This window comes from Homo sapiens, chromosome 3 (genome assembly GCF_000001405.40).
Source record: "Homo sapiens chromosome 3, GRCh38.p14 Primary Assembly".
NCBI lineage: Eukaryota > Metazoa > Chordata > Mammalia > Primates > Hominidae > Homo > Homo sapiens.
Genome location: NC_000003.12, coordinates 96,956,348 through 96,971,243, shown reverse-complemented (window position 1 = coordinate 96,971,243; position 14,896 = coordinate 96,956,348). Strand labels below are relative to the sequence as shown.

General features: G+C 33.7%; 1 protein-coding gene across 14 annotated transcripts in view; it reads right to left on the bottom strand.

Moving 5' to 3' along the window:
- The window catches only part of EPHA6 (EPH receptor A6), a 946,939-nt gene that overhangs the window by 790,289 nt on the left and 141,754 nt on the right, over positions 1-14,896 (bottom strand). The gene's annotated exons all lie outside the window — the stretch shown is intronic.

The following is a 14,896-nucleotide window of genomic DNA, read 5'->3' as shown; positions in this document are numbered from 1 at the left end:
AAAATATTATAGCAATAAAGATAACTTCTACTAAGAAGGAATAGATTATCCCATAAAACTGTCATATTCTGAAGATTAAATTTATTAAACAGTTCATCTTCTGTATGTCCAAAAGGCCTTAAATGGCTTACGAAGTTGAGATTCTTACTTAACGATAAATAAAATATTGCAAATATTATCTTTGAAGATTTATAGGATTTCTAAATAAAGGGATTGCAAATATTTATCTTAATTACCCTGTCTTATGTTCAACAATATATGAATACTATGCTAGTTACATAGGACCTCCAAATATAGCAAGCACAGAAAAATAATCTCACAAACCACATTTAATTTGATTCTTGTAAGTTATAGAGAATGAAGCATATTATCCTGATTTATGGATGAGGAAGCTGATTTAAAGGAGGGAATTGACTCATCTGAGTTTACAAAGAAAACAGAAGAATTAACACCAAAAGTATGTGAAAAGTTATGTTGGACCACATGAAGGCTTTGAATCAAGATAAATTTACGTAGACCGTAAGCTCTGTTAGGACAAGGACGTTGTCTTTTCATCATAGAGCTTCCCACACAAGCCTCCCATAGGATGTTCCCACAACAGGGATTGCAGTTGGTTCTTAATAGTTGTTAAATATACAAATTAATAATAAGAAAGCTTAAATTATAACTAAAACAACTGTGAATGCTTCCACTAATGGGAGAGCTACTCCTGCTCAAGTAATGATTCTATATATGACATGAGATGGAAAATATGTAAACTTTTAGCAATCTCCTAACCTAGCCATAGCATTTTAAAGACACCAGGATGACTCAGGTGAACAGAAACATAACATATGACTTAGCTGAAGCTTGCAAACATCACATGACTCACTGGACATCATGCTAGTGCACACAATTATAAGTTAGGATGAAAACTCAGGTTTATAACTAAGAGGCACTTTCTCTCTCTCTCTCTCGCTCTGTGTGTGTGTGTGTTTGTGTGTGTGTGTGTGTGTGTGTGTGTGTATGAAGAGGCAGAGAAGAGGAAAACGGTATTTAGACTATGTGTCTGTGTCAGGAGAGAGAGTGAACTGAACAGGTGAAGTAATATTCAGGCTGCTTAGGAAGTATCCTTTAATGGAGAAGCACTTTAATAAAAAGAGACTATTTACAGATTCAATAAAATCACTTATCTTTGCTGTAATTACTAATAAAGTCTATAGCCCTGACTCTGAGTAACATTCTATTTAACTAAAAGGTATAATATTTAAGTGTATTAACTTTTGAATTGATAATTCTTATAAACATCACATATGAAATAAATGAAATGAATATTCAAACTGGACATGTTAATGTACATTGATAGACAAATCTCCTGAGAGTGTGATGTCCTGTACACATTACAATAGGAAATTATTAATGAAGGAGAAAGTATTTAGCATATTAAATGATGCTGAAAGATCCACTAAGATAAAAACCACTCAATGTATACTAGATTTTTAATAGAAAATTTATCAGTGACCATGACAAGAAAATATTTGGTGGAGTGTTGGTTTGTTCAGAAGCACAATCTTCACACAGAAATCTGGAGAAGAGTTATTTCTTATTAAAGATATGCAACATGGAAATAAAATTTGCAGAGAACCATTTAAGTTAAGATTATGATTCTGTACATACCTTATTAGGTTATATTTTGGACCACTAATGTTGCTTTAACACTTCACAATGATATATGTTTTGACCTGGTTTTTCAAAATATATTAGACCTTCATATTTCAATTAAAATTATAGCTCTATTTAGGATTTCAGTTGTATAGGGATGGTTCTTGGAAGGTCAAAGCTTGCTTGACATCAGAATCCTACATGAGAAATTATATCCACGATCATCGGCCATTCCAATGGCTTCAAATGAGGTTTATCTGCATTAATTGACTTAACAGTAGAAATTATAGGGTGCCAGATATGAAAATCTGACTTGAATAAAATTACAATTGGTTATATTATTTAATTTTGTATAGCATATTTCTATTTAGTGATTCTTAAACACAACATGTAAGTACATATATAATGGGAAAATTCTCAAAGTGGAGGTATTATTCTTTTATGATAATTCCATGGTGCTGATTTCCAATTGTTAAAAATTATCTTAGTATATCAAATTAGTAGAAGTTAGAAGAGTTGTTTTAAACTGCTGAACCAGGTTGAGAATTTCTTCTACATTCTATTTTTTAATTTCACAAATTATTAATTACCCAGAGTGTAATTTAGATTTACTATATTATTTCTGTAAAACTGCTTATAAAGAACCATATGCATTTATGTAGATTTGGTGCAATCACTACTGTGTAATATGCCAAAGACAGCATAATAAACTTACCCTACTATTTCAAACAACCTTTAGAAAAAGTTTCATTAATCTTTTCTTAAGGAAAAGAAAGAAAAAGAATATTTGAGGCTAACTAAATAACAATGCTTAATAGTCATTCGCTTAGCAAACTTCAAGGAAAAAATCTATCCCTGAATATTGCACATTATATTGCACAGAATAGTAAACTAAAATTGCTGTTAGCATAGCAGTAAAGAACCTTATGATGCATCACACAGAGTTTTAAGGTCACATTGGGAATATAAATCTTTCAGCTCTGAAATACATTATATGGATCCAATGTACTTAGGTACTTTTGTACTTAGGTTCATTGTAAGTACCTAAGTACTTGACAAAAATGATTAAATGTTAATTCTCATATATACTTCTAATTAATCCAATATTCTTAAGAGACAGAAATGAGAATTTTATCAAAAAATATTTATGAAATATTTTTTGAAGCTACTCTCAAAATACATAGAATGTGTGTGTGTGTGTGTGTGTGTGTGTGCTTTTACCATTTTCTCTATGGTAGTTTACAATTTAAATCCAATTTAAAGTTTACAGTTAAATCCAATAAGCAAAGCAATACACATTTCCTAGGTGGTCAAACATTAAAAGGACACAGAACTAAGCTAAAAGCTACACATAATTAGATATGGTTACCACAGGGAAGAAGTTTACATCCAAAGTCAGTACACTTAAATGATCTAACATATACCTAACACAGTCAATATTAGAACAAAAATTAAGTGTAATAGTTTATAAGTTAATAGAAAATAAATAATTATATACACCCGATAAAATAGAAAAACTACATTGTAAACTACAGAAAATATTACAGAATGAGTCATAAAGAGAAGAGAAAAAAATAGTAAGCATATAAATAAAAGGTATACAATAGCTCATAACAGAAGACAAAGGATACAGAAGACAAAGGATACATGTCAATTGTCAAACAATAATTGCTAAATATCCACTTTTAAAAGATAAAGACTCCCAGATCTTATAATAAACAAAATCCAACTGCCGTCTACATGTTAGCTGCAGATCCATTCTCCTTCCAAAGTTCCTTCAAGAACATCAAGTTCATCTTTACTAATCAGAGTACTTGGTAGCACTCAGTCTCCTGTGTCCAAACTTGATCACAAAAATCAATCGAAGTGCTTAACAAAGGAACTTCCAATAATTAAAACACACACACACACACACACACAACTGTTACTCAATTCTATGTTGTTAAAAAGATAACAACTAAAACAAAATAATCCAAAACAGTTAAAATGGATTTCTAGAAAAAGATATTGGTACACGATAATCAATCATGAAAAACTTGGCAACATATGTAAACATTCTAAGAAGTTATTTAAGACACTGATCTAGTAATTCTGCTTCTAGAATTTTATCATGAGATAATAAAGTTTGAAAAATAATTGTGGCAAAGTGAAATGACAGAATATCATACAGTCAGTAAAATTCAGCGTGAAAAAGACATTCAATGACTTGGAAAAGTATTCATAATATACTAGTAAATGAAAAATTTAATTATAAAACAAAAAGTAAACTATAATAATTTTTAAAACATACAGTAATATATCATATATTATATAATGTAATACATTAAGTTGTATATAATATATATCATCTAAAATTATATAATAATTTCTTATTATATAACCTATGTTACATAAAGTGTGTGTGTGTGTGTGTGTGTGTGTATTCATAGCATTGAAGCACACTCACAAAGCTGAGGAAAGTTCTCTTCAAAACCTGAAACAAGAGTAATTATTTTTCAAAGAGGGGATTATCAATGAATTTTCTTTCTTCTTCATGACTTATGAATGTTTAGATTTTTCATAAGTTTTATGCTTACACAAGGAAAATGTTATTTTCCTAAGTGGTTAAAAATTAAAATGACACAGAATTAAGCTAAATGCTACACATAATTAAATATGGTTCCCACAGGCAAGAAGCTTACGTTAGAAGTCAGTATACTTAAAGGATCTAACATATACTTAACACAGTAAATATTAGGACAAAATTTAAAGTAAATGCAATAGTTTATAAGTTAATAGAAAAATGAATAATTATATACGCCTGAGAAAGAAGAAAAATCACATTGTAAAAGAGAATGTTACTTTCCTTGTGTGAGCATAAAAATATGTCATTTTCCTTGTGTCAGCATAAATCTCATCACAAAAACAGTTTCCAAGCATAGAAAACTAAAATATCCTTAATCAATTCTGGAAAATTCCTATAATTGTGATAATAAATACATAACAACCTTATTTACTACAAAAAATCCACAAATCTCTCCCCCTAAAAAGTAATAACAGTAACAACAAAAACATTGCTTAAACTAATTTGGGAGCAGATACGTAATTACGCCAAATCTCTAGGCAAGTTAATTTAAATAAATTCAACCAAATTTTTAAGAAACAGTAAATTCCTATCTGAGTAATCATTAAGTCATCGTCTCTTGGCTTCAGAGGCATTTTTCTGTACTCTGCTCTATGGCACTAGGACTGAACCCTGTCAACCCACATTTCTGCTTTGCCAGCTGGCTCCCTGTAAGGGTCTCACAAGACTTCCTAAATAAATGAAAGCACATTTGATGCCCTTGGATGGGTTACTGTAATCCGTATTAATGATGGGATACTTTAATGCTGTAAATAACAATTTCCCCCAGTTTTATCTATAAATTCAATTCAATTCTAATCAAAATACCAGTTTAACATTTTTTAAAAACTCAGTAAACTTATTTTAAAACTCACAGAAAGAATAACATTTCAAGAATACCTAATTTATTCAATAAAAATATCCTAAATTAATAATTGTCTTACTGATATATAATATACTATAATTCCACAGTAATAAAATTTTGTTCACTAACACAATAACAGAGAAATAGATCATGGAACAGAATACAGAGCTCAAACAAGACCATGTTTACATGAGAAGTAAGTATCAAATAAATTGTACATACAAAATCACAGTGCAACTATTCTGGCTGTTCAGTAGCAAACTGGCTTACTATATGAAGAAAAATAAAACTGCCTCTCTACATAAACCCTTTATAAGAAGTTTGATCCTCAAAGAATACTGATTTAAATACGAAAGGTAAAATTATACATTAATACATAGTATAAACAAATGTTGCTGAACGAGGGCTGGATAAAACTCCTTAAATAAAAATCTGAAGTACAAAATATAAAGAGAAAAATTGGTAAATTTGATTATGTAAAAAGTAAGGATTTCTACTCAACATCATACATAAAACTGGTAGATGACAGGTTTATATATGTTATTTGCAGCATTAATATCTGTAAGAAAAAATATAAACTACATAAAGAATTCTTGCAAATGGATAATAACAAGATAGCTTCTCCAATTTTTTAAAATACTCAGATGTTATAAGGACATTTTCCAGAAGTAAGTTGAAATAACAAGTATATGAGAAGATTCACACACTCATTAAAATATAAAGATACTGAAACAGCACTAGAGTAACATTTTAGGCCCATTAGATAGGTAAAAATGAAAAACCAATTTTTTTCAAGTATTGTTAGGGAGGTAGGTAAGTAAGAAGCCTTATACGGTGTTAAAGCAAACTAAATATGGCCTGAGAAAAACACCTTACTTCTATATTTGAGTCCTTGTAGATGAACTGTAACCTAGCTTAATAGGCAGACAAGATTGAAAACTAACTTAGGAATATGCTCCTGTAACAGTAACTGAGTCTAGGCCAATCCCAGAGGCCATATTTCAACCACTCAGAGGCTGCTAAGTGTTCAAACTGTGTTCAAATAAGGCAAATGCCAACCTGCAACCAATCTAGCTGTTTCTGAAACTCACTTCCGATTTCTGTACATCATTTCTCTTACTTGTCTATATTTTTTTCTGACCACAAGGCATCCCTGGAGTCTCTCTGAATTTTCTGTGATTCTGGGGGCTGCCCGATTCGTGAATTGTTCATTGCTCAATTAAACTGCTTTAAATTTAATTCAGCTGAAGTTTTTCTTTTGACAATACTATTGATGAAGACAGTAGACTTTTGCAGCCATTACAGAGAGTAATTTGCTAGCACTTGAGTATGCATATACTCTACAATGTGCACATGCATACACACACTCACAAATACATATATCCCAGGGAAATAATTAGCAAGTCTATAACTGGAAACGGATAAGTACATTCATCAGAGCATGTTTTGTAGTAACTGGAAATTGGAGATAATCATTAGGGATAAATAAAATATAGTGGATCTAAACAGTGAAACGTATGCATCAATCAGTGCTAAAACAGTCAATGTACTCCTAGCAACAAACACAGATCGTATAACAAAGAGATGATGAAAAAAATAGTAAGGATCAAAATCAGATCTATGATACAATGTTATCTATAAAAACCAAAACAACACAGTCACAAAACAATTCACATTGTTTAATAATACATACAAATTAAAGTTTCCCCCTCAAACAAAATAGAACAGTTGTCTAAGATGAACAAAGAAGAATGTGAGTAGGAAATAGTATTAAATAATAAATAAAGGCAAGAGAGGACTTGCATAGACCGATGATAATAATGTGGCACTGAAATAATCAACCAGTTTTAACAGGCTGCTGTGATTGGGCCTTCCAGCCTCAGGGGCCACCTCTTTTCTGCAGAATGGCAAGACTACTGGATCTTCAATAATAATTGTACATCTTAAAATAACGAATGAGCATACTTGGATTGCTTGAAACACAAAAGACAAACGCCTGAGGGGGTGGATGGATACCCCATCTACCATGATGTGATTACTATGCATTACATACCCATGTCAAAGTATCTCATGTACCCATAATATATAAACCTATTAGGACCCACAAATATTAAAAATATATTATTTTTAATTTTAAAATGTGTATTTTTAATTTTAAAAAGACTACTGGATCTTACTTCTTATACATAAATAAACCATTCTAGAGATTTGGATGTCTGGAATAAAGGCACATGAAAAGACTGAACTTCCTTCTCATTGTGGCAAATTGAAGAATAGGTTTATAGCATCTTTGAAATATAATTATTATTTTACTCAAAGCCAGAGTTTTATAAAAACTGATTACCGCAAATGTTATTTACTTTATATAAACATGTGTAGCAGAGATCACAACTGAAACCACAGTATTTATTCCCACCACTTTGTATTCTGGCATATCTGTTCACTTTTGTTTAATTAGCAGGAGACAACAGAGCTCCACTGCATGACAGATGATGAGTTTTCTGGAAATGGACTCAAGTTGCCTCCACTGTAGATATGGAAATACCCAGCCATATATTGTAAACTGCTAAACCCTACAGAAGTCTTTGCATTGAATTATGTAACAATAAAAAGCATACATTTATAGAGAATTTCTCCAAAATAAAAAAGAAAGGCTATTGACAGTTGACCCAGTAACAAAGTCCTCAATATTGGAAAGGTGAAAAGAAGAGGGGTTTTGACTATAAGTCCCAGAAATATGGCTAAAGATCTGTAGGGGATTAAATTTGTGCATGAGGGGATGGAAATCCAAGTTAGCCTAATTTGTTTTGGTTTATTGGTGTTCTATGTGAAAATGACAAACTAACGCATTATTACTAGATTAGTGCTGAGCAAATGAAAACGTTTTCTTTGCCTAGTTTTTACCCTTTTAAGTTGGTTTGGGATTATTCAGAAAAGTGCTCTCTTTAGTGCCCCTCTTTTTTTTTTTTTTTTTTGGATGCAGTTTCACTCTGTCATCCAGGCTGGAGTGCAATGGCACTATCACAGCTCACTGCAACCTCCGCATCCTGAGCTCAAGCGATTCTCCAATCCCCCTGTCTCAGTCTCCCAAGTAGCTGGGACTACAGGCACATGCCACTATGCCCAGCTAATTTTTGTATTTTTTGTAGAGACAGGGTTTCACCATGTTTCCCATGCTGGTCTCAAACTCCTGGGCTCAAGCGATCCGCAAGCCTCAGACTCCCAAGGTGCTGAGATTACAGGTGTTGAGCCACCGTGCCTGAAATGCTCCCTCCTTTTCATTTGTTTTTCTCTTACTCAGCTAATTTCTATTCCTTTGTCTTTGGTAAACTACTATCAAGAATGATGAATTACTAAATGGGATTCAAAGGGCACTTAGAGGTGAATAAACAAGTATGGTAAATTAGCAAGCACAGGCAAGGTCAATGTTGGTTCTCTTTATATAAGGCTGTTTCTGAGCAAATAAGGCTAATTTGTTTTAGCTAAAAAAAAAAATTAAGCTTAAAAGGGACAGTGCAAATTTTCTGACTGACTAAATTCTCAATTCTTTTGAAAATGGAATCTCTTTATCTGAAATTCTCTTGATGGAGTGGGCTCAGAATGTTATCTAGTTAGGCCGTCTAAAAGTGGGTTTAGTATTAGAACTGGGAGCAATTCCCAGTGAGAACTGGAAACAGGATGAAGATCATCATTGTTATTCCTCCTCCATGACACTCTCAACTCTAGCTTCTGTTCTCTAATCCATTCTACACAATACTTTGGGGTAACTATCCTAAAGCACAATTCTTATCATGTTACATTTCTGCTTTAGAGAATATCAGGTCTAAATACTTCCTTGAATGGCATTCAATGCTCTCCATGGTCTGACACCAATTAACTTTCATTTCACTGTTCTGTGGGAGATGCCATCAAAGCTCTGCCCATTTCCTTAGACCTTTCAGGATGCTCTAACATCAGCTCTGTGTGTGAAGGCTGGGTTTTGTCTCCAACAAAACTGCAGAAGGTTTCTCTGTCTGTGTACACATCAGGTCAGAAAGTGCTGAGGAATCAACATCCCTAGAGGAAAAGCCCTCAGCAAATAATTCCTGGAATTTAGTACATGAGACGTGTTTTATGTGATTTCCTCAAATGTCCTGGTAGGATTAGGCTCCACTTATCAATGGTGTTAAGTAGCTTAATAAAGCACCCTTTACTGCAGTCATCCTTTTTCTGTATCACTTCCCCTCCCCAACCCATGCTCCCTGAATCTCCCAAATAAACTACCTGCACTTAAAATTCCTATCTCAAAATCAGCTATGGGGAAACTGCAACTAAAACAATTGGTATGAAAATTATTCTAGGAAGCAGACATCCTAGTGCTTGTATTACTCACTGGCCAAATGATAACAAGGACTCCACTGCTGGTGGTAAGTAGGATTGTGGATAGGCTAACATCCTGAAGTATCTCAATTGCCAACATTCTTACCTGTAGTAAACTGAAGTGTATCACACAGGTAGAAGGGCTGTGCTAGTTTATGCAAAATATCTAGGATTGGAGAAAGTTATTCTTCTATAGCAAAGGAAATTATAAAGACAGTGGTTATTGTTAAGTGCCATCAATTTATTAAGCGAAGTAAAAAATGACACACTCAATTTAGCCAACCTCCAACTCAGAGTATGGTGTGAAATACAAAGCTTTCATAATAGCATCTATAAAGACACTTTTCTCCTGCACCCAAAAGACAAACAGGAATGCAAACCAAGACCAGGATCTGACTGTGCAATGAACCAAACTGTAAAGAAGAATGAATTTGCAGTATCACTGTATCTCTTAAGTAAGTGACAGATGGATAAGGTTCTAAGTTATAGAATAGAGATGAATAGATACATTTGAGAACTTGAGCCCCAGATTTCCCTAAAACCTGTCTGTGGGCCTACAAAAGTGGCTCAATCACTCTTGCTAAAGGACAGTAGCCTCCCTTTGCCTGAGGGGCATTCAGAGGCCTTACCTCAGATGTCTGGCAAGATGAAACCTGCCCTCTTCAAGCTCTTCCTTCCCTCTCTTCTTAATACTTCTAGGTCAACCATTACAGTCAATTCTCAGTTTAATCCAGCTATACAAGTTTTCTCCCTTCATTGTAAGGGAAGGGATTATTCATCAAAAGACCTGCAAGGCCTGGCTAATATGAACTGGCAAGAACTGTGAAACCATGCTTGGGAATGGATCTCAAGACTAGTGGAAAGGGAGAGAAGGATAGAAGGTAGGTAAAACAGAGTCGATTGATATGAGATTATTCACCTATGACTCAGAATTTAACAGCAGCTGAAATCAGCTATGATATACTATAAGCATGCTTCTTGGAAGTATGTAGATAAAATAACAACCTAGAATAAAAGAGTTAAAAAATACCTGTATAAAGTTTTGATGAAGGTGTCAAAAGATTCAAAGACATAGTGACATGGATTTATTAAACAACACTAGAGAATCCACCAGCTGGCTATGTTCCTGTGATGGTCCTAAAGACAAACTCTTCCTTAAAGCAAAAGATAAATGTGCTAATGAGAACACTCCATCATGAAAACTCAGTCTTTTTTGTACTTTGTAGACTATATTTGAAGATTGGGGTAGGATCTGCTTATAAAATCGTTCCCTAGTTTCAGTAGAAATGATGAGGTTTAAGAATAGCAGAGGCCAGATGGCAACACTTAACTATAAGAGGGAAGGTTGATGCAATTGCCAAAAGTGGCAAAACGGGAAGCCAAGTTTGAGTGGCAACCAGGGAGTACTAAGGCACAGAGATCTCTGGAACCGGCTAACAGATCATGACATGCCCAGAAATAAGAGAGAAAGATGAGGATACTGACTTCAAACCCATTAATGGCTCTCACCTCCAATAAAGAAAAAATCATTCTCCAAGACCACTTTCCACTCTGCATGAGATCTCAGACCCTGAGCACATCAACTAAATGTAGGCCACATACCTCAAAATAGTCCTTACCAAAGTACTCTAAAGAACTGGTTCACAAATACACCAGCTCATTTGCCTCCAGGGTAAAATAACTCTGAGGCACTCCTCAAAGACATTACTCGTACTTGCATCACTTTCTCAGGGTGTGTTTATGGTTAGGTTCCAGGTTCTCTGTAAAGTATATTATTGCCAAAATGAAATAGTTATTTTAACTTTTTGGCACTTTCTCTTTTCCAGCTATGCCTATAATTTTCTTGCCCTCATATTTTTCTCTACTCATCCCAATTCTATTCACATTTTGGGAAACTTTCAAATACTTCAAATATTACATATTAAGTAAATTTTCTCTATTCTCTCCAAGCAGAAGTGGTTCCCTTTTTGTCTTTTTCTATGTTTCGTTTTGATTTTTTTTGTTTTTCTGTTTCATGAGCAATGTATTTATTACTGAAAAACAAAACAAGACAGCTGGATATCCACATGCACAAAAATGAGTCAGACCCCTTCCTTACACAATACACAAAAATTAATGAAAAATGGTTCATAGACTTAAATATAAAAGCTAAACTATAAAAATCTTAAAAGAATTTATGGGAGTAAATCTTTGTCACTTGGAATTAGTCATTGATTTCTTAGATATGACATCAAAAGGAAAACACTATAATAAAAATAGATTAATTACACTTTAAAAGTAAAAATATCTGTGCTTCAAATTATACCATGAAGAAAGTAACAACCTACAGAATAGAAAAAAAAATTGTTATTCATATATTTGATAAAGGACTTGTATCCAGAATATATAAGTATTCTGCCAACTAGACAACAAAAATAAAAATAACCCAATTTTAACATGGGCAAATAATTTGAATAGCTATTTCTCTAAAGAAAATAGACAAATGGCTAATAAACATATGAAAAGCTATCAACACCATTAGCCATTAGGGAAACACAAATCAAAACCAAAATATAAAACCACTCCACGCTTACTAGGATGCCTACAAACAAACACCAGACAATAAACAAGTATTGGTGAAAATGTGGAGCAATTGGAACACTCAAGCATTTCTGGTGGGAATGTAAACTGGCACAGTCACTTTAGAAAACAGAGGAAATTTTTTCAAATGTTGAACATAGAGTTACCAAATGACCCAGCATTCCATTCTTAGGTATATACTCAAGAGAATTTAAAACATACGCTTTACAAAAACTTGTACATGAATGTTCACAGCGGCATTACTCATACTAGAAAAAAGTGAAAACAACTCAATGTCATCAACTGATGAATGCATAAATAAAATGTGATATATTCATACAATTGAATAGTATTCGGGAATAAAAAGGAATACTAAACAATAAAAAGAATCACTCAATAACATGAGTGAGTCCTAAGTAGAAAGAATCTCTCATCAACATGGGTGAGTTCCACGCTAAGTGGAAGAGCCAGACTCAAAAGACCACATATATTGCATGATTCCATTTATACAAAATGCCAACTATAGGTAAATCTATAAAAACAGAAAGTAGATTACCGTTTGTCTAGTTCTTGAGATGGGAGGAATGAAGGACTGTTAATGGGTACAGAGGTTCTGTGGGGTGATATAAAAGCTCTAACAATAAGAACACCATGCAAATAACCAGTGCAAGTAAATGAAAATCATTGACTATTATTGTAATCAATATTATTAATAGTATTTATTGAATGAATAAAACCACTGTACTAGAGATTTACATGCAATATAACCTTTAGCTCTCACAAAAATCCTATGAGGTAGGTAATATTATTATTCACATTTTACATATAAGGAGACTGAGTTTTACGAAAGTTGAGCTAACATCCCAAAGTCAGAGAATTAGCAAATGGCAGAACTGAAAGTCAAGTTCTTTTTTTTTTTTTTCTTTAGGGACAGAGTTTCGCTTTTGTCATCCAGGCTGGAGTGCAATGGCGGGGTACCGGCTCACTGCAACCTCCGCCTCCCGGGTTCAAGTGATTCTACTGCCTCAGCCACCCAAGTAGCTGGGAATACAGGCATGCCCCGCCACGCCTGGCTAATTTTGTATTTTTAGTAGAGATGGGGTTTCACCATGTCAACCAGGCTGGTCAAGACACAACAGTAGAGCATGGAGAAAGAATCTAATATTCAATGAGTAGTTGAGTCACGTTTTTGGAAAATACAAAGTACAGCCCAACAAACTCCCACTGCTGAGATTTCAGGAACTCTTTTAAGCTAGTTGCTATGAGGTGCAACTTTACCACATTTTCTCTACGTCTTTTGGTCAAATATTTCAGTTTCCACATGTAGTGAAAACAACCCAATATGATCACCTGATGAATGCATAAATAAAATGTAATACAGTCATATAATTGAATAGTATTTGGCAATAAAAAAGGAATGCCAAATAAGTAAAAACAAACATATAACAACATGTTTTCAATACATGTGGGTCATGGGTCATTAGAATCTCTCTCTTTATTCAAGCTAACTAAAAATTAACAGAATTAAATTATTACTTTTCCTAGCCCACTTGTTTTCTTAACTTCTGAGAACTCCAATGTGAGTTGATTATGTACTCTCAAGGATTCTATTATTTTCACAACACCAATCAGGGCTAAGTTGACAGAAATTAACAGCTGATTGAAATTTAATAACTTCTAGTATACTTGTCAGTTACAAGATTCTCTGAGTCTCTGATATATTCCCAGTTACAAATTATCTACATTGTGAAATTGAAAAGTTTTATTAAAACTAAGTAAAGCTTGCTTCTGCATATATAAAAAGGTTTCCAGATATGAGAAGTCCCATTTTGTATCTTTATTTTGTCCAAATTTTAAAAATTAAATTGAGAACGTCTGTCTACCATAGTTATATCTTTAGCCATGCAACACTGTCAACACTTATTTTCTCCTTTTTATCTTCAAATTCTCAGCAACTTTGTAGATATCCCTCTTCTTTGGATCTCATATTTTGATTCACTAATGCCATTACTCTTATCCAAATTTTCTTCAATGATTCCTTGTAAACACTTATTTTAAAAGTCTCTGAATCACTCAGCACATTCCTGCTTTGTTCAATATACTTTCAGTTAAGTCTGTAAATATTTTAGCTCATCCAATTTTAATTTTTCTCATCACTGTGGTTCAGATTTTTTTTTTTTTTTTTGAGACAAGTTTCACTCTTGTCACCCAGGCTGGAGTGCAGTGGTGCAATCTTGGCTCACTGCAACCTCTGCCTCCTGGGTTCAAGCGATTCTCCTGCCTCAGCCTCCCGAGTATCTGGGACTACAGGCACGTATCACCACACCCAACTAATTTTTGTATTTTAAGTAGAGACAGGGTTTCACCATCTTGGCCAGGCTGGTCTCGAACTCCGGACCTCGTGATCCACCCGCCTCAGCCCCACAAAGTCCTGGGATTACAGGCCTGAACCACTGCACCCAGCCTACATTTTTTATACATTTTATTTTTCTCTTCTGTCTCAGGGTTTGTGTATTGGGACAACTTTTTCTCTTTTTATTAAATTTTATTTTAATGCCTTTCTGATCAACTTCTCTTGCCAAATAAACGCTTCCTGATCTTTGTAAAATGTCTCTCCTAGCTTGACAGGAGCCTGTCTTTAAGGAATTTGAAGCTCTATAGCATGCTGTTCACTTCACATATCGTCTTTTTATTCCAAAGTCATAACCTTTAATTAGATGTAATGAAAATACCAGCTGAGTCCATCAGTTCTCCACACAAAAGCTCAAAAACCTGACAGTTGTATTCCAGCTTTGGGGTAAGTGTGCTATTGTTTCCATTTGAATTCTGCTGGACTAACATTATCTTAGTCAATTCAATGGATCATAGCT